Source organism: Homo sapiens, chromosome 19 (assembly GCF_000001405.40).
Source record: "Homo sapiens chromosome 19, GRCh38.p14 Primary Assembly".
NCBI lineage: Eukaryota > Metazoa > Chordata > Mammalia > Primates > Hominidae > Homo > Homo sapiens.
This window is the reverse complement of record NC_000019.10, coordinates 6,659,442-6,685,614: the sequence shown is the minus strand read 5'-3', so window position 1 is coordinate 6,685,614 and position 26,173 is coordinate 6,659,442. Positions and strand designations below refer to the sequence as shown.

General features: G+C 50.5%; 2 protein-coding genes across 4 annotated transcripts in view, besides 8 other annotated features; both read left to right on the top strand.

Moving 5' to 3' along the window:
- Positions 1-7,911, top strand: part of C3 (complement C3) — a 42,947-nt gene extending 35,036 nt beyond the window's left edge. Inside the window, exons 30-41 of the mRNA NM_000064.4 lie at positions 469-627; positions 781-840; positions 965-1,055; positions 1,176-1,227; positions 3,386-3,473; positions 3,585-3,674; positions 5,352-5,457; positions 6,119-6,208; positions 6,407-6,490; positions 7,160-7,243; positions 7,328-7,463; positions 7,592-7,911. Of these exons, the coding sequence (NP_000055.2) occupies positions 469-627; positions 781-840; positions 965-1,055; positions 1,176-1,227; positions 3,386-3,473; positions 3,585-3,674; positions 5,352-5,457; positions 6,119-6,208; positions 6,407-6,490; positions 7,160-7,243; positions 7,328-7,463; positions 7,592-7,733 (1,182 nt within the window). The 3' untranslated portion in view covers positions 7,734-7,911. The remainder of the gene's footprint in view (positions 1-468; positions 628-780; positions 841-964; positions 1,056-1,175; positions 1,228-3,385; positions 3,474-3,584; positions 3,675-5,351; positions 5,458-6,118; positions 6,209-6,406; positions 6,491-7,159; positions 7,244-7,327; positions 7,464-7,591) is intronic.
- Positions 10,091-10,665: an enhancer, noted in NCBI's record as "H3K27ac-H3K4me1 hESC enhancer chr19:6674961-6675535 (GRCh37/hg19 assembly coordinates)". NCBI's record gives its function as "activates a minimal SCP1, AML or CMV promoter by ChIP-STARR-seq in primed H9 embryonic stem cells {active_cell/tissue: H9 hESC(primed)}" and the evidence as "EXISTENCE:reporter gene assay evidence [ECO:0000049][PMID:30033119]".
- Positions 10,492-10,601: an enhancer, noted in NCBI's record as "active region_13858". NCBI's record gives its function as "activates an Ori minimal core promoter by ATAC-STARR-seq in GM12878 lymphoblastoid cells {active_cell/tissue: GM12878}" and the evidence as "EXISTENCE:reporter gene assay evidence [ECO:0000049][PMID:35858748]".
- Positions 10,666-11,242: an enhancer, noted in NCBI's record as "H3K27ac-H3K4me1 hESC enhancer chr19:6674384-6674960 (GRCh37/hg19 assembly coordinates)". NCBI's record gives its function as "activates a minimal SCP1, AML or CMV promoter by ChIP-STARR-seq in primed H9 embryonic stem cells {active_cell/tissue: H9 hESC(primed)}" and the evidence as "EXISTENCE:reporter gene assay evidence [ECO:0000049][PMID:30033119]".
- Positions 14,326-14,425: a silencer, noted in NCBI's record as "silent region_9960". NCBI's record gives its function as "represses an Ori minimal core promoter by ATAC-STARR-seq in GM12878 lymphoblastoid cells {active_cell/tissue: GM12878}" and the evidence as "EXISTENCE:reporter gene assay evidence [ECO:0000049][PMID:35858748]".
- Positions 14,996-15,225: an enhancer, noted in NCBI's record as "active region_13857". NCBI's record gives its function as "activates an Ori minimal core promoter by ATAC-STARR-seq in GM12878 lymphoblastoid cells {active_cell/tissue: GM12878}" and the evidence as "EXISTENCE:reporter gene assay evidence [ECO:0000049][PMID:35858748]".
- Positions 15,027-24,362, top strand: TNFSF14 (TNF superfamily member 14). 3 transcript variants are annotated; one of them, NM_003807.5, is made up of 5 exons: positions 15,027-15,319; positions 15,457-15,764; positions 18,166-18,202; positions 18,461-18,502; positions 20,265-24,362. In NM_003807.5, the coding sequence occupies exons 2-5, from the start codon at positions 15,546-15,548 to the stop codon at positions 20,687-20,689; spliced, it is 723 nt and encodes a 240-aa protein (NP_003798.2). In that variant the 5' UTR covers positions 15,027-15,319; positions 15,457-15,545; the 3' UTR covers positions 20,690-24,362. The 3 variants fall into 3 exon arrangements, with proteins under 3 accessions (NP_003798.2, NP_001363816.1, NP_742011.2); NM_001376887.1 differs by lacking the exon at positions 15,027-15,319 and having other exon boundaries at positions 15,455-15,764; NM_172014.3 differs by lacking the exon at positions 15,027-15,319 and having other exon boundaries at positions 15,457-15,656.
- Positions 15,606-15,695: an enhancer, noted in NCBI's record as "active region_13856". NCBI's record gives its function as "activates an Ori minimal core promoter by ATAC-STARR-seq in GM12878 lymphoblastoid cells {active_cell/tissue: GM12878}" and the evidence as "EXISTENCE:reporter gene assay evidence [ECO:0000049][PMID:35858748]".
- Positions 16,596-16,785: an enhancer, noted in NCBI's record as "active region_13855". NCBI's record gives its function as "activates an Ori minimal core promoter by ATAC-STARR-seq in GM12878 lymphoblastoid cells {active_cell/tissue: GM12878}" and the evidence as "EXISTENCE:reporter gene assay evidence [ECO:0000049][PMID:35858748]".
- Positions 16,846-16,935: an enhancer, noted in NCBI's record as "active region_13854". NCBI's record gives its function as "activates an Ori minimal core promoter by ATAC-STARR-seq in GM12878 lymphoblastoid cells {active_cell/tissue: GM12878}" and the evidence as "EXISTENCE:reporter gene assay evidence [ECO:0000049][PMID:35858748]".
- Positions 24,363-26,173: the final 1,811 nt, after the last annotated feature.

Sequence of the window (26,173 nt, the reverse complement as noted above, 5' to 3'; positions counted from 1 at the left end):
CTTTCTTTCTGGTGGTCTGTCACTCACGTTCTCAGTGTTACAGTGTCACTCTTGGGTTGTAGATTATATGCTCAGTATCCTCTGGCTACGGTTTCATTCTGTTCTTCATGAGTGGGTTCTAGACATATTCTCAGTGTCTCCAAGCCCTGGTCTAAGACTCTCTCCTCTTGATGGGTCTAGACTGCATCCTCAGGGTCGCTAGACATTCAGTCTTACATTTGGACTTTCTGATGGATTCTAGACATGTTCTCAGCATCTCCAAGTCCTGGTGTAAGTTTCTGTCTCTCGGAGAGTTCTGAACATGTCCTCAGAGTCCAGTGACCTCCAGTTATCACCCCTGCACTCTCTAGTAGGTTCTAGGCCACATTTTGATGTCCCAGCTCTGATTTGAACCTCTTTATCCCCCACTGGATTCTAGCCACTTTCCCAGGCTCCCAGATCACCATCTTTCTCTCTTGTGGGTTCTAGGCCACCTTCATGGTGTTCCAAGCCTTGGCTCAATACCAAAAGGACGCCCCTGACCACCAGGAACTGAACCTTGATGTGTCCCTCCAACTGCCCAGCCGCAGCTCCAAGATCACCCACCGTATCCACTGGGAATCTGCCAGCCTCCTGCGATCAGAAGAGGTACAGTCACCCAGCCAAGCCCTCCTCACTCTGGCTGTCTCCCCCTACACTAGCCAGGGTTTACTGGGAAGCAAGAGGGAGGGCCAGGTGACCATCACAGGCAGCAGAAGGCTTAATTCCCAACATGCTCTCTTCTCTCTTTTCACTCTGCAGACCAAGGAAAATGAGGGTTTCACAGTCACAGCTGAAGGAAAAGGCCAAGGCACCTTGTCGGTAAGGAACAGAAACCCACACCTGCCTGGCCCATGCCCCTCTGCCCCAGAGGGACCATCTCCTCTTGTCCCCAGCAGTCCTAGTCCTGTGGGCTGACATTGTGTCTCCTCTCCCATCTTACCAGGTGGTGACAATGTACCATGCTAAGGCCAAAGATCAACTCACCTGTAATAAATTCGACCTCAAGGTCACCATAAAACCAGCACCGGAAACAGGTAAAAGGAATCAAGGCCTTATCTGTCACCTTCCTCCTACCCCTCTTCTAATGTCTTCCCCGCTCCTGAATCAACACACAGGTATACCCTCTCCCATCTTTCTCTCTTCTGTGTTTCTAGAAAAGAGGCCTCAGGATGCCAAGAACACTATGATCCTTGAGATCTGTACCAGGTAAGAAGCTAGGTCACCGGGGTTCATCTTGGCCATCCCTCTATCTCTAGCAAGAATTCTTGCAAATAATATCCATGATATTCAGTACTTTCCAAGTACACTGTGTATCTGATACTGTTCTAAGTATCCACCATGAGGTAGACAACACAGACAGTCCTTGCTTTGCATGTTAATGTGAGACCACAGCAATGACCACGTAAGCTGAGACTGTCAAAGCATCTTAGTAATCAATGGAGGAAAGTACACAATCATTCCATGACCTTTAAAGTTTTCTTTTTTTCTTTTTAGAGAGATAGGGTCTTGCTCTGTCAGCCAGGCTGGAGTGCAGTGGCACAATCATAGCTCACTGTAACCTCAAACTCCCTGGCTCAAGCGATCCTCCTGCCTCAGCCACTCAAGTAGCTGGGACTACAGGCGTGTGCCATGACACCTGGCTGATTTTTATTTTTTATTCTTTCTAGAGGCAGGGCCTCACTGTGTTGCCCAGGCTGGTCTCGAACTCCTAGCCTTGAGCATTCCTCTGCCTTGGGCTGCCAAAGTTTTGGGATCACAAGCATGAGCCACTATGCCCAGCCTAAATGTTTCTATTACAACATTTAAAATTATCATACTGCCAGTTATAAAGATACAGGGAAATGGCCGGGTGTGGCGGCTCGCGCCTGTAATCCCAGCACTTTGGGAGGCTGAGGCGGGCAGATCACGAGGTCAGGAGATCGAGACCATCCTGGCTAACACGGTGAAACACCGTCTCTACTAAAAATACAAAAAAATTAGCCGGGCATGGTGGCGGGTGCCTGTAGTCCCAGCTACTTGGGAGGCTGAGGCAGAAGAATGGCGTGAACCCAGGAGGCGGAGCTTGCAGTGAGCTGAGATCACGCCACTGCACTCCAGCCTGGGCGAAAGAGCAAGACTCTGTCTCAAAAAAAAAAAAAAAAAAAAAATAGAATAAAACAAAATAAAGATACAGGGAAATGAAATTCATAGTAAGATGAGTATTTGACTACACCGTAATTTAAAACATTAGAACATTGAGATGCAAGGTGTATTTGTTGTTTTTTTTTTCCTTTGTATGACACTTACGGAGAGTACTTTAGTTCAAAAAAATGCTTGCCTTCTTCTCTTTGTATAATTTACAACATGGAGTAAACATCTTTTCTATGCCTTAGTACCTTGTCTTGCTCCTTTCTAAGTTTGGATCAGCTTCCAATATTTTATCCTTTGAGCTTTCCATGACACAAAATTCCTCCAAGAGTTCCTTTAAAGTGACTTTGTATTCTATAATGTCCCTTCCTCTGGGACATCTTCATCCTTTTTGTCCCCATGACCTTCCTTATTTATGCTAATACATTTGCCTTCCCTGAGTTCCTCTACACTACCTATCTCTCAAATGGCAGCAGGGTCAACATCACCATAGTCTGCTATTCTTTGATAACTCCATTTATGCTGTCTTTGAAGTTCACTTCTGGCATTATCACTTTTCATTTCTTTGCTGCATTTTTATCTTTGTTGGCCAGTTCCCTCTTTTCGTGATACATTGTTGTAAAATCTCATGGGAGTTAGCCACCTGGAGACAGGGAGGCAACAGAACTACACACTTTGCTGTCTGTGCATAAATTGAAGAGCAGAAGCTCAGTGACCAATCACTGATGGACTTTGAAAGGAGTGACAGTAATTGGCCCTCAATTATGATGCTTATCTTTTATTTATGTCGTGATTTCTAGACTGAAGAGTTAGCAACAAAGTTTATACCATATGCAACTACTCGTGATCAATATACCAAGGTACTGAAAAAGAACCATGTCACTGGGCTACTAGTGTTATTTAACTGAATCATGCAGAGTGAGGGCTGCCTGTATTCTTGCCTTGTTTTCTAGAACTGAAGCATGGAGGGTCAAATAATGCATCCAATGTTATTTAGAGCTGGAATTTGAATCCATGCAGTTGGGTGCAGAGTCTGAGCTCTTAATCACCTTGACCATTACATTACCTTGCTTTTTATTTCCTTTGGGGAAATGTTTCCTAAAAAATGTAACGCCCCTCTGTGCTGCTATGTGGGAATCAGAAGTCTCAGTGCCTGATCAGACCTCCTTGTCCAGGAACAGACCCTTGGGGCTGACCCCTCCTTGGGACCCAATGCCCTTCTTTCTGCACTATCCAGGTACCGGGGAGACCAGGATGCCACTATGTCTATATTGGACATATCCATGATGACTGGCTTTGCTCCAGACACAGATGACCTGAAGCAGGTATGAAGGGCTCAGGAGCTGGGATAAGTGGAAAGGAGCCTGGGTTCTGGAAGAGGCTGCAGGGAGAGAGGGGTCCAGGAGGGATTTTTCACAGGCTCCACCTTTCCCCAGCTGGCCAATGGTGTTGACAGATACATCTCCAAGTATGAGCTGGACAAAGCCTTCTCCGATAGGAACACCCTCATCATCTACCTGGACAAGGTAAGGCTGCATCATCCTCCCCTGGGAGGCTTCCAGGGGCACCCTGACCTCTATCTGGCTGGTCTTTCTTTTCCTTTCAGCTTTTGTCTCTGGGTCAGACTAACCCTGGGCCAGAGGAGACAGGGTCTGTGCTGCTGAGTTGTAGGGGAAGGAGCTTGTAAAATAAGGGGGTCAACCCAGCATCTTCTATAAACATCTCATCTTCTGACCATTTGCCTCCTCCAACTTGTTATCAGAGTCTTAAACAACCATTGAAAAAAAGCCCTTTTGGTTTTTTTGGTTTTTTTTTTAAGTGCTTTGTAGAGAGCAAGGTCTTGCCTCGTTCCCTAACCCAATCCTGGGCTTTGTTTCTTTCTTTGATCTATTTCTCTCTTCTGTTGTTTTCTTTCTTTCAGGAGACAGGGTCTTGCTCTGTCACCCAGACTGGAGTACAGTGTCTTGATACTAGCTCACTGCAAAGTCAAATTCCTGGGCTCAAGGGATCCTCCTGCCTCAGCCACCTGAGGAGCTGGAACTGCAGGCCTGCGACACTGCACCCAGCTAATTTTTTTTTCATAAATATTATGCTTTTGTACCCAGCTTTTTTTTTTTTTTTTTTTTAACTGCAGCCTTGACCTCCCAGGCTTACATGATCCTCCCACCTCTGCTTCCTGAGTAGCTGTGATTACAGGTGCATGCCACCATGCCCAGTGAATTAAAAAAAAAAAAAGTTTGTAGATATGGGGTCCCACTGTACTGCCTAGGCTGGTCTTAAACTCCTGAGCTCAAGTGATTCTCCCACCTCAGCCTCCTAAAGTGCTGAGATTACAGGCATAAGCCCCTGGTGCCTGGCCCCAGCTGAATTTTTGTTCTTGTTTCTTCATAAATATTCTGTGTAAGTACCCAGCTGATTGTTTTATTTTTTGTAGAGATGGGGGTCTTGATATGTTGCTCAAGTTGGTCTCAAACTACTGGCCTCAAGCGATCTTCCTGCCTCAGCCTCCCAAAGGGCTGGGATTCCAAGCATGAGCCACCACACCTGCCACCTCTTCTGTTATTTTCTCTCCATCTGGCATTCTCTGACTCTTTCATCTCTACCATGATTTGGGCTTTCTCCTCTCCCTTCTCTTATTTCTTCCCATTCTCCTATCCCCATATCCTCCCTGCTAACTCCTGATACCCACAGGGCCCCTCAATCCCATTTTAGTCAGCTTAAGTAACAATAGCTACTAAAACAAAACCCCTAAGAATATGGGGTCTTAACACAACAGACTTGTATTTCTCACTCATGTAAAGTCCAGTTGGCATGGGGGGTAAGGAAGGGTCCCTCTGCTCCATGTAGTCTCTCAGGGATCCAAGCACCTTCCATCCTGTGGCTCTGCAATCCTTAGGATCTTCTGTAGTTCTCTGCAGGATTCATTCATTCTAGATGGAAATAAGATTGTGCATGGGTTGTTTTTATGGGCATAGATAGCAATCTGTTCAGCCACCTGGCCACACCTAATTGAAAGAGGAGCTGAGAAAGGTAGTCTCACTGTGAGTCTAGGAAGAAAAGTAAATGGATTTGCTGAATTGCTCATTCATCTTTGCCACTTCCTCCTTGATCCTTCAGTTTCTCCACCACTGCCTCAGCTCCCAAGACAATGCTGGACTCCCTCCCACATCACCCCACTGACCAAGCTCCTCCTTCCCCCTCAGGTCTCACACTCTGAGGATGACTGTCTAGCTTTCAAAGTTCACCAATACTTTAATGTAGAGCTTATCCAGCCTGGAGCAGTCAAGGTCTACGCCTATTACAACCTGGGTGAGCAGCCAACCTAGGGCCTGGGGTCTGATGGTTCCAGGGGCCTGAGAGTCCCAGGTATATATGAATTGTGGGGATCTGAGAATGAAGGTCTAAGGAGTCCAGGGATTTGAGCATTCGTAGTATGAAGGTCCCACGGGTCTGAGGGTCCCAAGGATCTATGAGTTGAGGTTCTGAGGTTCTGAGGGGATCTGAGAATGATGGTCTAAGCAGGCCAGGGATTTCAGGATTAGTAATCTGAAGGTCCCAGGGTCTGAGAGTCCCAAGGATCTATGAGTTGGTTCTAGGGATCTGAGACTTGGGGGTCTGATGGGTTCAGGGGTCTCAGGGTCTTAGGAATATGTGAGTTGCAGGGGGTTCTGAAAATAAGGGTCTAAGGATTCTAGATATATGAGGGTTGGAGGCCTGCGTGTCCCAGGAATCTATGAATTTGGGGTCTGAGGGTCCCAGGCTTCTGTGAGTTGAGAGTCTAAGAGACTCAAGGGTCTGAGAATCCCAAAGATCAGAAAGTAGAGGGGGTCTTGGGGTCTGAGGGATCTGAGGGGTTGAAGACCTAGCATCTCCAGGTCTGAAGACTGAGAACTGGGGATCTGGGCCTCCCAGGCATGGTCTTTGGAGGGAGGCCCTTATCCTCTCATCTTCACATCACATCTGCCCGCAGAGGAAAGCTGTACCCGGTTCTACCATCCGGAAAAGGAGGATGGAAAGCTGAACAAGCTCTGCCGTGATGAACTGTGCCGCTGTGCTGAGGGTGAGTTCCCTGGAGCCGGGAACAGGTGGGTCTGAGCAAGCCACACTTACCCAGGTCATCTATCCCATGGTCAGGGACCCCCAGACCCATACCCAGGGGATACCAAGGGGGGTAGGCTCCCAGGGCTGGCCACACCCATGGGCAGTAGGCCCCAGATAAGGAGTGGGACTTAGACCCTGTCTCCACCCCACCCTGCAGAGAATTGCTTCATACAAAAGTCGGATGACAAGGTCACCCTGGAAGAACGGCTGGACAAGGCCTGTGAGCCAGGAGTGGACTATGGTGAGTGGGTGATGGGTGGGGGTCACGCATGTTTAGCTGTGTGTGTCCAATTGTGTGGTGGGTGGTAGGTGTGGTTGTCATGGTGTGGCTTCAGGCTGTGGGTGTGGGTGACTGTGGTGTGTGTGAGAGCATGTATTGTGAGGGGCCATGATTGTGTGGGGAACCATGACTGTGAGTGGCCTAGGTATGCTCATGTGAGAAAAGGTAGATGTGGTTGTATGCATCATTGCGTGGGTGGCTGTGAGGTTGTAGTTGTGTGTGGCTGTGGTTGTGTGAGGCTGTGTGGTTGTAGATGGCAGTGAGTGTGAGGTCCTGAAGTTACGTATATGACTGTAGTTTTCCGTGGCTATGGTTGTGTGCATGGCCATGAGGCTACAGTATTTTGTGCATATGAGTCACTCTCATTGCATAGTATGAATAGTATGTTACTAGACATTGTGGGTGGCTGTGACCTCTGTGCATGCCTATGAGCACGACTGTGTGTGGATGGTGACATGGGACCCTCTATGGTTGTGTGTGTAATGAGGGGTGGGCCATAGTGTGACTGGCTGTGATTCTGCAACTTTCTGCTTGGGAGAGAGAGCCACATGCCCGGGTGCACTTGCAAACCAGGGTGCCCCTCATGGTCAACCTAGCCCACCACCCAAACTGTCTGCCTCTCCCCCACAGTGTACAAGACCCGACTGGTCAAGGTTCAGCTGTCCAATGACTTTGACGAGTACATCATGGCCATTGAGCAGACCATCAAGTCAGGTCAGGCTCAGCACGCTGCCTCCCGTGGCTCTTCCCTGGCTTCCTCCCCACGACTCAGCTTCTTCCCTCTCCCCTCCACTCCAGGCTCGGATGAGGTGCAGGTTGGACAGCAGCGCACGTTCATCAGCCCCATCAAGTGCAGAGAAGCCCTGAAGCTGGAGGAGAAGAAACACTACCTCATGTGGGGTCTCTCCTCCGATTTCTGGGGAGAGAAGCCCAAGTGAGTGCTTTCCCTGCGCGTGCGCGCGACCGCCCGACTGCCCCGCCCATGCCACGCCCACACCATTGTCACGCCCCTGCGCCACGCCCACACCACGCCCCTTCCTGACCTGCCATTCTTCCCTCCAGCCTCAGCTACATCATCGGGAAGGACACTTGGGTGGAGCACTGGCCCGAGGAGGACGAATGCCAAGACGAAGAGAACCAGAAACAATGCCAGGACCTCGGCGCCTTCACCGAGAGCATGGTTGTCTTTGGGTGCCCCAACTGACCACACCCCCATTCCCCCACTCCAGATAAAGCTTCAGTTATATCTCACGTGTCTGGAGTTCTTTGCCAAGAGGGAGAGGCTGAAATCCCCAGCCGCCTCACCTGCAGCTCAGCTCCATCCTACTTGAAACCTCACCTGTTCCCACCGCATTTTCTCCTGGCGTTCGCCTGCTAGTGTGCTGACTTCTTTAGCCAAGGAGCATGGACCTGCCTCACCTGCACGTGGCATGCACCTGCGCCTCACCTCCATTTCACCTGCACACTCACCGGCAGCTCACAGCCCCTTCACCTCTTCACTTACCGGCATCCTCACCTGTTAATCTTACCAATTTTTTTTTATTTTATTATTATTACTATTTTAAGTTCCGGGGTACATGTGCAGGATGTGCAGGTTTGTTACATAGGTCAAGTGTGCCATGGTGGTTTCCTGCACCTATCAACCCATCACCTAGGTTTTTTGTTTGTGTGTTTTGAGGCAGAGTCTTGTTCTGTCGCCCAGGCTGGAGTGCAGTGGCACAATCTCGGCTCACTGCAACCTCCACCTCCCGGGTTCAAGTGATTCTCCTGCCTTAGCCTCCTGAGTAGGTGGGATTACAGGCGCCCGCCACCTTGCCTGGGTAATTTTTGTATTTTTGGTAGAGACGGGGTTTCACCATGTTGGCCAGGCTGGTCTTGAACTCCTGATCTCAAGCGATCCGCCCGCCTTGGCCTCCCAAAGTGCTGGGATTACAGGCGTGAGCCATCACACCCAGCCCCCTATTACCTAGTTATTACGTCCAGGATGCATTAGGTCTTTTCCCTAATGTTCTCCCTGCTCCCAATGTTACCAATATTTTCATCTGAATCTTTACCTGCTCACTCCTCTGCACCCTCAGCTGAATCCATGTATGGGTTTTTGTTGTTGTTGTTTTGTTTTTGTGGGTTTTTCTGTTTTTTTTTTTTTTTTTTTTTTTTTGAGATGGAGTTTCACTCTTGTCGCCCAGGCTGGAGTGCAATGGCGCGATCTCGGCTCACTGTGACCCCTCCTCCTGGGTTCAAGCGATTCTCCTGCCTCAGCCTCCCGAGTAGCTGTGGTTACAGGCACACGGCCACCACACCTGGCTAATTTTTGTATTTTTATTAGAGACGGGGTTTCACCATGTCGGCCAGACCGGTCTCGAACTCCTGACCTCAGGTGATCTGCCCGCCTCGGCCTCCCAAAGTGCTGGGATTGCAGGCGTGAGCCTCCGTGCCCCGCCAGGGTTTTTTGTTTTTGTTTTTTAGCATCCTCACCTGGCCCCAACACCTACATCTCTATCTTAAGCTTACCTGTATCTTTACCTTAACAGCATTGTTACCTATATTCTCACCTTTTTCCACCTACATCCTCTCCGGTGAGTGTATTTTCTCTGCATCTTCATCTGGGTCCTCACCTGCATCTTTACCTGCATGCTTTTCTAGGTATTTTCTTGGGTTCTTGCCCACATTCTCACCTACATTCTCACCTGCAGATTTACCTATCTTCTTACTGTAACTGCCCAATGGGTTCACCTTGCCCGCTGCCTAGACAGAACCGATTTATCAGACGGGGGATGCAGTGGAGAAAGAGTAATTCGTGCAGAACAAGCTGTGCAGGAGACCAGAGTTTTATTATTATTCAAATCAGTCTCCTCGAGCATTTGGGGATCAGCGGTTTTAAAGATAGTTTGGTGGGCCAGACGCAGTGGCTCATGCCTGTAATCCCAACACTTTGGGAGGCCGAGGCAGGTGGATCACCTGAGGTCAGCAGTTCGAGACCAGCCTGGCCAACATGATGAAACCCCGTCTCTACTAAAAATACAAAAATTAGCCAGGCGTGGTGATGCACACCTGTAGTCCCAGCTACTTGAGAGGCTGAGGCAGGAGAATCGCTTGAACCCGGGAGGTGGAGGTTGCAGTGAGCCGAGATTGCGCCACTGCACTCCAGCCTGGGTGACAGAGCGAGACTTCATCTCAAAATAATAATAATAATAATAGTTTGGCAGGTAGAGGTTTGGGAAGTGAGGAGTGTTGATTGGTGAGGTTGAAGTTGGAATCATAGGGGGTCCAGGTGAGGTTTTCTGTCTTCCGTTCCTGGGTGGGATCACAGAACTGGAGGGGTCAGATTACTGGTCTCGATGGTGTCAGCTGATCCATTGAGTTCAGGGTCTGCAACATATCTGGAGCACTGATCTTAGGTTTTACAATAGTGATGTTGTCCCCAGGAGCAATTTGGGGAGGTTCAGACTCTTGGAGCCAGAGGCTGTATGGCCCCTAAACTGTAATTTCTAATCTTGTAGCTAATTTGTCAGTCCTGCAAAGGCAGACTGGTCCCCAGGCAAAAAGGGGGTCTTTTCGGGAAAGGGCTGTTACCAATTTTGTTTCAGAGCCAAACCATGAACTGAATTCCTTCCCAAAGTTAGTTCGGCCTATGCCCAGGAAAGAACAAGGACAGCTTGAAGCTTAGAAGCAAGACGGAGACGCTTAGGTCTGATTTCTTTCAGCGTCATAATTTCCTCAGTTATGATTTTGCAAAAGCGGTTTCATTACCTGCACCTCCCCCGGCATCTGTCCTTGTAGATTCGCCATCACCATCAACCTGCAGACCTGCTCTGCCCTCTCACCTGCATCCTTACCTGTCCTCATTTGCATCCCTTCTGCCCTCCTGCAGCCTCACCTCACTCTCCCAGACCCCGTTTCTAGATGGGCCTGAGCCAAGAATCCATGCTTTGGGGTGAGCTGTGTCTGGTGACTGAACCCGAGAGGAGGCAGTAGGGGCTGGCAGGCAGGGCAGTGTTTCCGGCTGGAGCCCCAGGGAGGGGAAGACATGAGTCAGCAGTTAGGGAGGGAGTGCGGGGGCTTTGTGGTCACGGCACACAAAGTGCTTTCTGGTGACAGCGCTGCTTGGGGAGCAGCAGCCTTGGGTTTGGAGAGCAGGGGCGCTGTTGCTAAAGGGGACTGGGGCCCTGAGCACCTCCTCTCACTGCACCTCTGGTCCTTTGGGGACTGGGAAGGTGTCTGTATGGAGGGTGGGATGCAGCCTCCCAGCTCTGCACCACATCATCACGAAACACCCACTGAGGCTGAAAGTCACGCCTCCACAGCCTCTTTTCCTAAGACACCCCACAACTCCAGGGGTATGGGCGAAATAGATTCACAGTCTACCCTACTCCATCCAGCTCCTAAATGACAAAGCCTCCTGTCAAATGCCTTGCAACTCACTGGCTATCCCGGCTGATATCTGCCAAGACCACCACTCTACTTCACATCCTTCTTCTCATTTCTTTTTTCTTTTCTTATTCATTCCTCCTTTCTTTTCTTTCTCTTTTTTTTTTTTCTGTCCCCCAGGCTACAGTGCAGTGGCACAATCTCGGCTCACTGCAACCTCCGCCTCCCAGCTTCAAGCAATTCTCCTGCCTCAGCCTCCCAAGTAGCTGAGATTACAGGTGCCCACCACCACGCCCAGTTAATTTTTGTATTTTTAGTAGAGGTGGGGTTTCACCATGTTGGCCAGGTTGGTCTCGAACTCCTGACCTCAGGTGATCCACCTACCTCGGCCTCCCAAAGTGCTGGGATTACGGGCATGAGCCACTGCACCTGGCCTTCACTCCCCCTTTCTCCTGTTTGGGATTCATTTGATTCATTTCTTCAACATATGGGGGTGTTTGGTGCTTTTGTTTGTGTTTGCTTTTATTTTGAGCTAAAACCTATCACTTGAGGCTGTGAACGGTGCAGATAGGATCTTATGAAACTTACATTCTAAAAGGGGGAGCAGGATAGGACTCATGAAAACAGCATGGGGCCAGGCGTGGTGGCTCACGCCTGTAAGCCCAGCACTTTGGGAGGCCGAGGTGGGCAGATCATTTGAGGTCAGGAGTTTGAGACCAGCCTGGCCAACATGGAGAAACCTCATCTCTACTAAAAATACAAAAAAGTAGCCAGGCGTGGTGGCGGGCACCTCTAATCCCAGCTATTCGGGAGGCTGAGGCAGGAGAATCGCATGAACCTGGGAGGCGGAGGGTTGCAGTGAGCTGAGATCGGGCCACTGCACTACAGCCTGGACAACAAAGCGAGACTCCATCCCCCACACCGGCTCCCCCAAAAAGAAGACAGTGTGGAATGGATTTTGGATGGTGAGGATGTCCAAAAAGAAAAGTTCACCCATGCAGTGGGTCCAGCGGTTAAGAAGATCACTTAGATTGAGTGGCATGAGGGCTAACTTATGTGATAACAAAGCTAGGCTATATGAAGTCATTTGGTAAAACACTAGTCTAAATGTTGCTAGAAAGGTATTTTAGCCGGGCACAGTGGCTCACGCCTGTAATCCCAGCACTTTGGGAGGCTGAGGTGGGTGGATTACTTGAGGTCAGGAGTTCGAGACCAGCCTGACCAACATGGAGAAACCCCATCTCTACTAAAAATACAAAATTAGCCAGGCCTGGTGGCGCATGCCTGTAATCCCAGCTACTCGGGAGGGTGAGGCAGGAGAATCGCTTGAACCTGGGAGGCTGAGGTTGCAATGAGCCAAGATCGCACCATTGCATTCTAGCTTGGCCAACAACAGCAAAACTCTGTCTCAAAAAAGAAAGAAAGAAAGAAAGAAAAGTATTTTATATTTCTTTACTTTTTTGTCTTTTTTCTTTTTTTCCTCTTTGTTGAGAACGGGGTCTCACTATATTGCCCAGGCAGGTCTCAAACTCATGGGCTCAAGCAATCCTCCCGCCTCTGCCCCCCTAAGTGCTGGGATTACAGGTGTGAGCCACTGCACCTGGCTAGAAAGGTAATTTTCAGATCATGTCAACAACCACAGTTGACTTTCAGGACAGGAGATGAGCCTAGGTAATGTGAGTGGGCCGCACCTGATCAGTTGAAGGTCTGAGGAGTAAACACCGAAGTTTCCTGAAGAAGGAATTCTGCCTCAAGGTTGCAACTTAGTAATTCTGCCTGAGTTTCCAGGCTTTAGGCTTTAAGACGGTAGTGTCACCTCTTACCTGAGCCTCCAGCCTAACTGGCTTGTCCTGTGGACTTCAGACTTGCCAACTCCCATGATTGTGTGAGCTAATTTCTTAAAATAAATGTGTTACACACTCTCTCTGACTCTATACATCTCTCTCTCTCTCTCTCTCCGTCTGTCTTTGTATCTCTGTGTCCCTGTCTCTCTAGTTTTCCATGTCTGTCTCTTCTCTGACTCTGTATCTTTGTCTGTCTCTACAGATCTCTTTTTTTTTTTTTTTTTTTGAGACAGTCTCATGCCATTGCCCAGCCTGGAGTGCAGTGGCACAATCTCAGTTCATTGCAACTTGTGCCTCCCGGGTTCAAGTGATTCTTGAGCCTCAGCCTCCCAAGTAGCTGGGATTACAGAAGTGTGCCACCACACCTAGCTAATTTTTTATTTTTTATTTTTGTATTTTTGATAGAGACAGGGTTTCCCCATATTGGCCAGGCTGGCCTCGAACTCGCGACCTCAGGTGATCCACATGCCTCAGCCTCCCAAAGTGCTGGGATTACAGGCGTGAGCCACCGCACCCAGCCTATAGATCCCATCTCTATCTCTCTGTGTATCTTCTATTGGTTCTGTCTCTCGGGAGACACCTGACCAATTCAGGGAGGGCTCCTGTGAGAAGTTTCTTGAGTCAAGACGCAGATGAGCAGGGGGAGCCTGCTTTGGAGATCTAGGGAAGATGGTTCCCAGCAGCAGGAAGAGGAAGTGCAAAGACCCAGGATATCTGTCTGGGGCAGAGTGAGCAAAAGCACGAGGGTCCAACCACAGAGGCCCCAGTGAAGGGCACTTCGTGTCTTAGCCTAAGCTCAGGGGCAAGCTGGCAGCAAACTGTATCTATAAAGGGCCACATAAGTGTTTTTGGCTTTCAGGGCCAAGAGGTAAAATCAAGGATATTACAAAGATACTTATGAAACAAGACAGAAGCCAAGTGCAGTGGCTCACGCCTGTAATTCTAGCATTTTGGGAGGCTGAGGTGGGCAGATCACCTGAGGTCAGGAGTTCGAGACCAGCCTGGCCAACATATAGACAACATATATGTTACAACATATATAATGGCCAACATATAATACAAAAATTAGCTATGCATGGTGGTGGGCGCCTGTAATCCCAGCTACTCAGGAGGCTGAGGCAGGAAAATTGCTTGAATCCGGGAGGCAGAGGTTGCAGTGAGCCAAAATGGCACCACTGCACTCCAGCCTGGGTGACAAAGTGAGACTCTGCCTCAAAAAAAAAAAGAAAGAAAAAGGCTGGGTGCGGTGGCTTATGCCTGTAATCCCAGCACTTTGGGAGGCCAAGGCAGGCGGATCACGAGGTCAGGAGATTGAGACCATCCTGGCTAACACGGTGAAACCCCGTCTCTACTAAAAATACAAAAAATTAGCTGGGTGCGGTGGTGGGCGCCTGTAGTCCCAGCTACTCAGGAGGCTGAGGCAGGAGAATGGCGTGAACCTGGGAGGCGGAGCTTGCAGTGAGCCGAGATCGCACCACTGCACTCCAGCCTGGGCGACAGAGCGAGACTCCGTCTCGAAAAAAAAAAAAATCCACGCTTGAATGCATGCACACTCATACATGGACCTCCCCACACACATGAACACACCCGTGCAAGTGCGCACACACACATACACGCACCAATGCACAGGCACACACACATGCACACACCTGCACACAGCACATATATGCACACCCACTTGCACATGTGATGCATGTTCACACATACACACACGTGCACATGCATGCATGTACATGGACCACATGCACATGCACACAGATGACCATACACATATGCATGCACCTGCCCACATATGCACGCACATTTACATGCCAGCACATGTATGATACACAGGCATGCGCCTGCACATGTGTACATGATACACACTTGCATGCACACAACTGAATACACACATTCACATGCACACACTGCACACATATATGCATGCAGACAAGCACACACACAGAGCACACATCCACTCCTTTATTCCACTCTTGTGTTTTTCACTGCACTTGTCACATCAAAACACAACAGAAGGCCGGGCATGGTGCGGCTCACGTTTGTAATCCCAGCACTTTGGGAGGCTGAGGTGGGTGGATCGCTTGAGGTCAGGAGTTCGAGACCAGCCTGACCGACATGGTGAAAACCCATCTCTACTAAAAATACAAAAAGCAGCCAGGCGTGGTGGCACGCGCCTGTAATCCCCGCTACTTGGGAGGCTGAGGCAGGAGAATTGCTTGAACCCAGGAGGTGGAGGTTGTAGTAAGCTGAGATCGCGCCACTGCACTCCAGCCTGGGCAACAGAGCGAGACTCCATCTCAAAAACAAAACAAATAAACGAACAAAAAAACCCACAACGTATTATTTTCTTGTTTACGAGGTTTCTTGTCTCTCTGGCTCCACCAGAAGAGGAGCAGGGACCCTTCTTGCTGTTGTTCATTGCTGCATCCCCCACACCGAGAGCAGAGCCTGGCATGGGCAGAAAGTCCTCAGTCGATATTTGGTGGCCCCAAGCGAATGAAGCATCCAAGAAGGGAAAGCTGGGGGCTCCCCACTGCACTTGCCACCTGAGTCACATTTTCAGAAGCCTCTGGAAAGTGTGAGAGTCTGTATGAGTGAGAGTGAGACAGGGCCAAGACCGGGGGCGGCGGGTACCGGAAGAAGAGGAGGGTGAGTGGGGGAAGGGGTGGGGCTGAACCCCAGCTCTAAAGGCGGCCCACGGGTGCCTGTCCGCAGCGTGCACAGCCCAGGAGTGTTGAGCAATTTCGGTTTCCTCTGAGGTTGAAGGACCCAGGCGTGTCAGCCCTGCTCCAGACACCTTGGGCATGGAGGAGAGTGTCGTACGGCCCTCAGTGTTTGTGGTGGATGGACAGACCGACATCCCATTCACGAGGCTGGGACGAAGCCACCGGAGACAGTCGTGCAGTGTGGCCCGGGTGGGTCTGGGTCTCTTGCTGTTGCTGATGGGGGCCGGGCTGGCCGTCCAAGGCTGGTTCCTCCTGCAGCTGCACTGGCGTCTAGGAGAGATGGTCACCCGCCTGCCTGTGAGTGGGACCGGGGGGCTGAGAGCAGGTGGAGGTGAGGGGGGCTCCCCTGTGTCATTGTGGGTCACTGTGTGTCTGTGTGTGTGTGTGTGTGTGTGTGTGTGTGTGTGTGTAGGACAGGGCACAGGCTGAGAGCAGCTGGCTTGACTGGTTGCTGCTCCCAGCCTTGGGCAAGTGAATTCACCTCTCTGAACCTCAGTGTCTTCATCTACAAAATAAGGGCAGTCTCTTCATAGGGGACGAAGTATGCTATGGCATGTGTAGTACCAGACGATGCCAGCTCCACCCGTCGGAACTGACACCCCAACACTGCCATGCACACCCCTGTGCACACACGCATGCATTTTCTCTGTACTTTTTTATTTTTGAGACGGAGTTTCACTCTCGTTGCCCAGGCTGGAGTGCAATGGCATGATCTCTGCTCACCGCAACCTCTGCCTCCCGGGTTCAAGTGATTCTCCTGCCTCAGCCTCCCGAGTAGCTGGGATTACAGGCATGCGCCACCACGCCTGGCCAATTTTGTATTTTTAGTAGAGATGGGGCTTCTCTATGTTTGTCAGGCTGGTCTCAAACTCCCGACCTCAGGAGATCCACCCGCCTCAGCCTCCCAAAGTGCTGGGATTACAGGTGTGAGCCACTGCGCCTGGCCTTCTCTGGTACTCTTATTACTGTTACTGCGATTGTCATTAATTCTCTGACCATTTCCATCTGTGGAAATTTCTCGGTCTGCTTCCAGCTGGCTGTGGATGTGTCCGCCTGTCTGTGTGCCTCACCTGGGGGTCTATGTGTGCCCAACACCATACCCCTGTGGGCTTGGCCCCTTTTGTGTCCTGGGTCTGGATCCGGTGGCCACACATTCGTGTCCATATACCCATGTGGACGTATGTGCGTGTACCCACATGTCCACACACCCGCCTAGCTGCAGCCGGTGTATTCACGTTGTCTGTCTTTGTCTCTGGGTCTCTGTGTCTGTAGACGCACATGGATCCATAAACCACAAACCACATGTCCACGCATCTGAGCCCACATGTGTCTTCTCAGCGTCATGATGATGTTGAGGTCTGTGCCCTGTGGCAGGTGCTATATCCCAAGGGTGGTGTCCATGTGTCCAGCCATCTCGCTGTCTGCATTTTTTTTTTTTTGAGACAAGGTTTCTCTCCCATAGCCCAGGCTGTAGTGTAGTGGTGCAGTCTTGGCTCACTACAACCCCACCTCCCAGGTTCAAGTGATTCCCTTGTCTCAGCCTCCTGAGCAGTAGCTGGGATCACAGGCATCCGCCACCGTGCCTGGCTAATTTGTGTATTTTTAGTACAGACGGGGTTTCACCATGTTGGCCAGACTTGTCTCGAACTCCTGACCTCAAGTGATCCACCTGCCTCAGCCTCCCAAAGTGCTGGGATTACAGGTGTGAGCCACCACGCCTGGCCTTGTCCCTGTATTTTTAAATATTACTTATTTATTTAATTAATTACATATTTATTTATCTTAGAGACTGTGTCTCACTCTGCTTCCCAGGCTAGAGTGGAGTGGCACGATCATAGCTCACTGCAGCCTTGAACTCCTGGGCTCAAGCAAGCCTCCTGTCCCAGCTTCATGAGTAGCTGGGACTACAGGCATGCACCACCATGCCTGGCTAATCTTAAAAATTTTTTGTAGAGATGAGGTCTTGTTGTGTTGCCCAGGCTGGTCTTAAACTCCTGGCCTCAAGCTGTCCTCCCACTTTGGCCTCCCAAAGTGCTGGGATTACAGGTGTAAGCCACTGCTCTGGGCAATGTTATTTATTTATTAAACCCTTTTATTTATTTATTTATTTTTTGAGATAGAATCTCACTCTGTCACCTAGGCTAGAGTGCAGTGGCACAATCTGGGCCCACTGCAACCTCCCAGGTTCAAGCGATCCTCCTGCCTCAGCCTCCAGAGCAGCTGGGATTACAGGCACCCACCACCAGGCCCAGCTAATTTTTGTAGTTTTAGTAGATACAGGGTTTTACTGTGTTGGCCAGGCTGGTCTCGAACTCCTGACCTCAGGTAATCTGCCCACCTCGGCCTCCCGAAGTGCTGGGATTAGAGGTGTGAGCCAATGCACCCGACCTATTAAACCTTTCTCTAGTGCATACTATGTGCCAAGCACTGTAATAATGCCTTACATATGTGAATTCATTAAACGCCAAGCAGACACGATTCGTAACTCCATTTACATAGAGGGAAACTGAGGCACCAAGTGGTTGTGAGGCCTCTGGACAGGGGGTGTGTGTCTGCAAGTGAGAGTATGTGGCCCTGTGTACGTGTCTGAGGGTGGTGTCGGTGGCTATGGTCCTCATGTCTCATAGCCATGTGTGAGCAATGCGAGGGCGTGGCCCCCGCTGCAGGTTCTTACCGCAGGCCCCTTCTGCATTTTCAGGACGGACCTGCAGGCTCCTGGGAGCAGCTGATACAAGGTGAGTCAGGGTCCTGGCCCCAGGGAAGGAGGTGTGATGATTCCCATGCCACCCCCACCCCTCGGTCAATTGCCCAATATGATTTGCACAACTGGCCAAATCCTCACAGGTGCCCCTCCCCCAGGCCTGAGAAGCAGAAGTTTGGGTCACTCCGGAAGGGGTGGGGTTGATTCCAGGAGGTGTACACGGTGGCCCTTTAGGAGGCTGGCTTTTTACCTCCACTGTCTTCGTCTCTAACCTCTGACCCTCTTTCCCCAGAGCGAAGGTCTCACGAGGTCAACCCAGCAGCGCATCTCACAGGTGAGAGGGACCCTGGATCCTGGCAAGGGGCAGGGGTCAGGGCGTCTCGGGAAGACCAGATAAACGCCATACATATCAGTGTATTCATTCATTCATTGCTTATTTACTCACAGAGTTGCTCAGAACATAGGCTGCAAGTGCTATGTATTTCCAGTTTTATTTATTTTATTATTTTTTATTTCTATTTATTTATTTATTTATTTATTTATTTATTTTTGAGACAGTCTCACTCTGTTGCCCAGGCTGGGGTGCAGTGGCATGATCTCGGCTCACTGCAGTCTTCGCCTCCCGGGTTCAAGCGATTCTTCTGCCTCAGCCTCCCAAGTACCTGGGATTACAGGCATGCACCACCACACCCGGTTAATTTTGTTGTATTTTTAGTAGAGACAGGGTTTTGCCATGTTGGCCAGGCTGGTCTCAAACTCCCGATCTCAGGTGATCCTCCCGCCTTGGCCTCCCAAAGTGCTGGGATTACAGGCGTGAGCCACCGGGCCCGGCCTAGTTTTATTAATTTAATGAACTCTCATATAGTGCTTATGCTGTGTTATGTGCTGTGACACGCTTTCTACATATTAATTCATTACATTCCAAGCAGGTGCTATTAATATGCGCATTTTACAGAGAGGGAAACTGAGGCACACAGCGAGTACGAGGTGCCGCTTTGGTTTCTTGGTTTTGCAAACTTGCATGTTTGGACATTTTTTTTTTTTTTTTTTGAGACAGGGTCTTACTCTGTCAACTAGGCTGGAGTGGTGCTATCACGGCTCACGGCACCCTCAACTTGCCAGGTGCAAGCGATCCTCCCACTTCAGCTTCCCCAGCAGCTGGGACTACAGGTGCCTGCCACCATGCCCAGCTAATTTTTTTGTTTTTTGTAGAGACAGGGTCTCCCTATGTTACTTCATCTGGAACTCCTGGACTCAAACTCCTGGGCTCAGGGGATCTTCCTGTCTCAGCCTCCCAAAGTGCTGGGATTATAGGGGTGAGACGCCACACCCAGCCAAGTTTTGACACTTTTGGCAAATCACTTAACGGTTCCATGCCTCAGTTTCCCCACCTGCAAAAGAGGGATGCAAAGAGTTGAGATATAGACTAAGCAAGTTAATTTGCTTCCCTGTGCCTCAGTTTCCCTCCTCTGCAAAGCAGGGATAAAGCAAATTAATACATACAAACAGGCTAGGCAGGGTGGTGGCTCATGACTGGAATCCCAGCACTTGGGAGCCTGAAGGATCGGTTGAGCACAGGAATTCGAGACCAGCCTGGGCCACATTGTGAGACCCCCACCTCTACAAACACACACACACACACACACACACACACACACACACGCACACATGCACACACACACACAAACAGCCTAGTGGTGACTGGCCTGGAGTCACACAGCAGGAGTAAGACATGTGAGGCCGGGCGTGGTGGCTCACACCTGTAATCCCAGCACTCTGGGAGGCCGAGGCGGGTGGATCACCTGAAGTCAGGAGTTCAAGACCAGCCTCAGCAACATGGCAAAACCCCATCTCTACTAAAACTACAAAAAGTAACTGGGTGCGGTGGCGGGCACCTGTAGTCCCAGCTACTCAGGAGACTGAAGCAGGACAATCGCTTGAACCTGGGAGGCGGAGGGTGCAGTAAGCCGAGATCATGCCACCACACTCCAGCCTGGTCCACAGAGCGAGACTCTGTGTCAAACAAACAAACAAACAAGCAACAGAGGAAGACATGTGCTGACCGGCAGCCCCCTTTGTCTCTCTCTTCCCAACAGGGGCCAACTCCAGCTTGACCGGCAGCGGGGGGCCGCTGTTATGGGAGACTCAGCTGGGCCTGGCCTTCCTGAGGGGCCTCAGCTACCACGATGGGGCCCTTGTGGTCACCAAAGCTGGCTACTACTACATCTACTCCAAGGTGCAGCTGGGCGGTGTGGGCTGCCCGCTGGGCCTGGCCAGCACCATCACCCACGGCCTCTACAAGCGCACACCCCGCTACCCCGAGGAGCTGGAGCTGTTGGTCAGCCAGCAGTCACCCTGCGGACGGGCCACCAGCAGCTCCCGGGTCTGGTGGGACAGCAGCTTCCTGGGTGGTGTGGTACACCTGGAGGCTGGGGAGAAGGTGGTCGTCCGTGTGCTGGATGAACGCCTGGTTCGACTGCGTGATGGTACCCGGTCTTACTTCGGGGCTTTCATGGTGTGAAGGAAGGAGCGTGGTGCATTGGACATGGGTCTGACACGTGGAGAACTCAGAGGGTGCCTCAGGGGAAAGAAAACTCACGAAGCAGAGGCTGGGCGTGGTGGCTCTCGCCTGTAATCCCAGCACTTTGGGAGGCCAAGGCAGGCGGATCACCTGAGGTCAGGAGTTCGAGACCAGCCTGGCTAACATGGCAAAACCCCATCTCTACTAAAAATACAAAAATTAGCCGGACGTGGTGGTGCCTGCCTGTAATCCAGCTACTCAGGAGGCTGAGGCAGGATAATTTTGCTTAAACCCGGGAGGCGGAGGTTGCAGTGAGCCGAGATCACACCACTGCACTCCAACCTGGGAAACGCAGTGAGACTGTGCCTCAAAAAAAAGAAAGGAAGAAAAAAGAAAACTCAGGAAACAGATCTTGGGGGACACTCCAGGGAACCCAAAACTCAAAGGCGGAGAGCTCAGTGGGCACCACCAAGGCGAGATGAAGCCCCAGCAGGCACCTTCAGAAGACCCACGTAGACTGCAGACCCTGCCACGGACAATACTAAGGACAAAAACCCAGAGACTTGGGGTCTGTGGGCCCCCAAACATGGGGTAAAGTTGATTTGCCTGATATTCAGGAAGAAGGGGTGAGGGGTGGGTATTTATGCTTTTGATTCAGAAGAAAGTGGGGCTTGGGATTCCAGGGACTTGGCTGGGGGTGGGAAACTTCATCCACTTCCCTACTCTCATCATGAGTACGGACAGGGTGGGCGGGAGACTGATCATCGGGACTCATCATGAAGAGCCCAGCCCCACCCCACATACTCAGATCCCACCCACAGACTGGTGGCCACACCTCAGCCTGGTCACAAAGAGTTACACTCAGATACATGAGCACGGCAGCGTGCTCATAACTGTTTAACAACCAGCTGTCCTGGGAGGGGGACAGCTTTGTAATGTTTGCCAATTTCCATGGTGTAAATGCTACCACCATGGCTGATTTCATCACTGCCAAGCATAGACATCCCTAATAGGACACCACGGATCTGTCCCCGGCATCCGGCCCAGGGCCTGGCACAAAGCATGCTCTAGGGAAATGCTTGCTGATTGAAAGGAAGGAAGAATGACTCTACAGTCACACCTATGGCATCCCACAAAATCTGTCACATGGCTGCATAATCTCAGCCACTCTTTCACAACTATAGACTCATACACGCGAAGTGCCAGATTCATGCACAACCACACAATCACATGGAAGTCACAGACGGCATCACAGACAGTCACAGCACTGTGTGTATGTTATAACACAAGCACACAAAACTCAGACAGCATCCCAGCTACACAGCCACTCCCAGAGGTGTCACCGTCACACTTGGTAATTAATACTCATTACATTAGACACAGACAGACCAAGTTATAGTCAGACCTGGTTACACACATACACACACACAATATCACCATGACAAATACACATTACACACACACAACATCACAATGACAAACACACATTACACACACAACATCACGATGACAAACACACATTACACACACAACATCACGATGACAAACACACATTACACACACATCACAATGACAAACACAACATTACACACACACAACATCACAATGACACACACATCACACACACATCACAATGACAAACACACAACATTACACACATATACACACAGCCTGAGGGCCCTCCCCAGCCCAGACTAACACATCTCGGGGTGAGGACCAGACCTTGTTCATAACCCTGGGCCTCTTAACCACTGATCTTTGAAATAAATGGCAAATAGTTGTACCTGGATCTGTCTAGTTCTTAGGGGAACAAACTGAAGAAGGGTGGAGAGGAATTGTCAGGCCTAAAGAGCCCCACAGGGAAAGGGAGGAGTCGGATGGGGGGCAACCATCAGCAACAAGTGGTGGCTCCTAGAGGCAGAGGGATGGAGGTAATGACCCATGGAGGTCATTCTACAGATGAGGAACCTGGACCCAGTTGGCTCAAGTCCATGCAGGAAATGTGGGGGAAACCAGAGACCTCACGTCTGGATCTGGCTTCCTCTCCAATCCACAATTCCTGAGGAAGTAGAGGCTACATCCCGCAAGACGCCCTTATTAGACACATCCAGGACAGAATGACAATCCGCCAAGCCAGCTGGAAGCATAAAACACAGGGAGCTGGTGGGTTGGGTGGGGGCAGATAATGATATGCATACAAATTAGAGGGTCTATGCAAATGAGCATTGCTGCAGTGTGGCTGGAGGGAATCCTTAGTTCCTAGGATTCTAGGATATGGGTTTCGACCCCAGAGGTGAATGTATTGTTATTATTGTTTTGTTGTTGTTGTGAATGACAAGTCAAAATTTGTGGGTTATTGTTGTTATCGCCAATAGTATTCTTGTCATTGTTGCACAGTACAGAGATGAAGGAAACAGATTTTGCAATCAGATGATCCTGGGTTCTGAGTCCACTCTGCCACTCACCAGCTATATGACCTCCAGCAATTTCCATCACCTCTCAATGCTTCAGTTTCCCCATCGGCAAGATGGTTGTGGGGGGAGAGGAACAACAGTACAGATTCACCATCCCAAATTCAAAATGCTCCAAAATCTAGGCCGGGCGTGGTGGCTCATACCTGTAATCCCAGCACTTTGGGAGGTCAAAGTGGACGGATAACCTGAGGTCAGGAGCTCCAGACCAGCCTGGCCAACATGGCGAAACCCCATCTCTACTAAAAATACAAAAAATTACCTGGGTGTGGTGGGGGGCACCTGTAACCCCAGCTACTCGGGAGGCTGAGGCAGGAACCCTGGAGGTTGAGGTTGCAGTGAGCTGAGATCACACCACTGCACTCCAGCCTGGGTGACAGAGCAAGGCTCCCATCTCAAAAAACAAAAAAACATGCTCCAAAATCTGAAACTCTTTGAGCCCCAGTGTGATGCCACAAGTGGGAAATTCCACAACTCATCACATGTGATAGATTGCAGTGGAAATGCAGGCACACACCACGAAGTTTACTCAGCATCCTCAAAGGAAATCCCCGTCAGTAGCTATATATCATTTTCTCACATGCCAGATAGGTATCTCTCATCTTTTACTGTTAGGTACTTCTGTGTTGAATAGGTGGAGGAAAATGATTGCTGGTTAGTAGTATATAAATTCAGAGTCAGGAAGGATGGTGATGTCGGCTGGGTGCAGTGGCTCATGCCTGTAATTCCAATGTGATACCCTACCTTGTGTTTAACGTGATTGACTCTCCCTTAGCTGAGAGGGCCAGGCAGACTCTATTTTGGCTTCTTCGCTTGCAGTCTCTCACCCACCCCCCTTCCTCAAGGACTTAAGCTGACTCCCAGCACATCCAAGAATGCGATTACTGATAAGATACTGTGACAAGCTATATCCACAATTCCCAGGAATTCGTCCGGTTGATAGCACCCAAAGCCCCCGCGTCTATCACCTTGTGATAGATTTAAAGCCCCTGCACCTGGAACTGTTTGTTTTTCTGTTACCATTTATCTTTTTCACTTTCTTGCCTGTTTTGCTTCTGTAAAATTGCTTCAGCTCGGCTCCCTCTTCCCCTTCTAAACCAAGGTATAAAAAGAAACCTAGCCCCTTCTTTGGGGTGGAGAGAATTTTGAGCGCTAGCCGTCTCTCAGTCGCCGGCTAATAAAGGACTCCTGAATTAGTCTAAGAGTGTGGCATTTCTCTATAACTCACTCAGTTACAACATTTGGAGGCCACAGCGAGATCCGCCACCGGGTGAAATCTGGACCCGTTCCGGGCTCCCCTGGACAGACGGCGAGCTTATAGGGGAGGCGCCACCTAAAGACGTTCCAGGGACGTGTAGGCCACCGTCTTCCAGAGGGGAACGGATCGGCTGCCGGTGTCCTCAACCAAATTCAACTCCTGAGTCCTCAGTGTCTGGTCCCGGGAAGGTAAGTCAGATTTGACTCTGTTTCTCTGGGAGGGAGGTGGCCCTGATGAGGGCGTCCCTCTGACTCTGTCCATATTCCAGGACGCTGGAGGACAGAGTCCTGGTTTCTGTCTGACTCTGTTTCTCTGGGAGGGAAGCGGCTCTGATGAGGGCATCCCTCTGACTCTGTCCAAATTCCAGGATGCTGGAGGACAGAGTCCTGGTTTCTGTCAGGCATCTCTGTAAGACTAGTCTCTTTCTTTCTCTCTCTCTCTATCTCTTCTCCTCTCGTTGAGGTCTCAAGGAGACCTCTGTTTTAAAACGGGTATTGAAGAATTGTAATAAACTCTGTGTGAGTGAGTGAGTGAATGTGGAGGTCAAGGGCTCGCGCTTGAATTTTCAGTTTGTAGCTCCACGGCAAAAGCTACAGAGTTCGAGTGGGCCCTCACCTGTGGTTCCGTGGTGACCTCATAAGGCTTAGGGCAGCATTGAGCATAGCTGGATCTGAACGGGCGTTTATACCGGCCTGCCAAAGCTAAGAGGAGCCTGAGTCCTCACAAGGGGAGTGGCCAGGCGGGCATCTGACTGATCCCATCACGGGACCCCCACCCCTTGTCTGTCTATAAAAATTGTCATAATTGTCTATATACCCTAGTGTCTATTGTCCTGTTTAGTGTCTATTGTCCTGTTTGGTGTCTGTCTAAATTTCATGGGTCAGGTCACCCATATTGCCCAAGACGACTGGGCAAGGACTTCTTCAAAGTCCTTTAGTGCAGATTTTCTATTACAGGGGGTCTCAGGCGTGTCTCTTCGGGTTGCCAGGCCCAGGGGCCACTCCTCCGCCAGTTTACAAACGAAACAGCCTCCTTCCCCCACAGCAGGGGCTCCCCAACCCACGGATGAGGAGTGGGAGGTGACGGTGCTGGACCCTCTCCCCCAGGGACCCCCGCTCCTGCGCCTTCAGGCGTCAAAGACCCTGACTTCCCCGACTACCGGCGCGTCCGCACCCGGCTCAGAACGCAGGGGCCCGGACTGCTGCGGTGACCTTGGTCCCGGGCCCGGGCTTCTGAGCTGGGCTTGCAGCGCCTGACGGGGCCTGGAGGCGGGGCGGGGGGACTGCGGAGTAGTCCTGGCGACCCAGCGCTGCCCAGCACGGCTCCTCCCAGCCTGAGAAGATCCGAGTGGCCCCTTTTCCTCCTCATCCCCATCCCTTACCCCGCACATCTACCTCTGTTCTTCCGATACTGCAGCCCTCTAGGCCGTGAATTTCTCTGTCCGTGCTGGGTTTTATATTTCTGCTTAAACCTTGTTAATTGCCTCCAGAATGGGAAACTCTTCTTCCCAGCCCTGTAGAGATTGGAGCCCTCTCCAACGCATGTTACAAAATTTCTCGGCCGGGCGCGGTGACTCACGCCTGTCATCCCAGCACTTTGGGAGGCCGAGGTGGGTGAATCACGAGGTCAGGAGATCGAGACCATCCTGGCTAACACAGGGAAACCCCGTCTCTACTAAAAATACAAAACAATTAGCCGGGCGTGGTGGCAGGTGCCTGTAGTCCCAGCTACTCGGGAGGCTGAGGCAGGAGAATG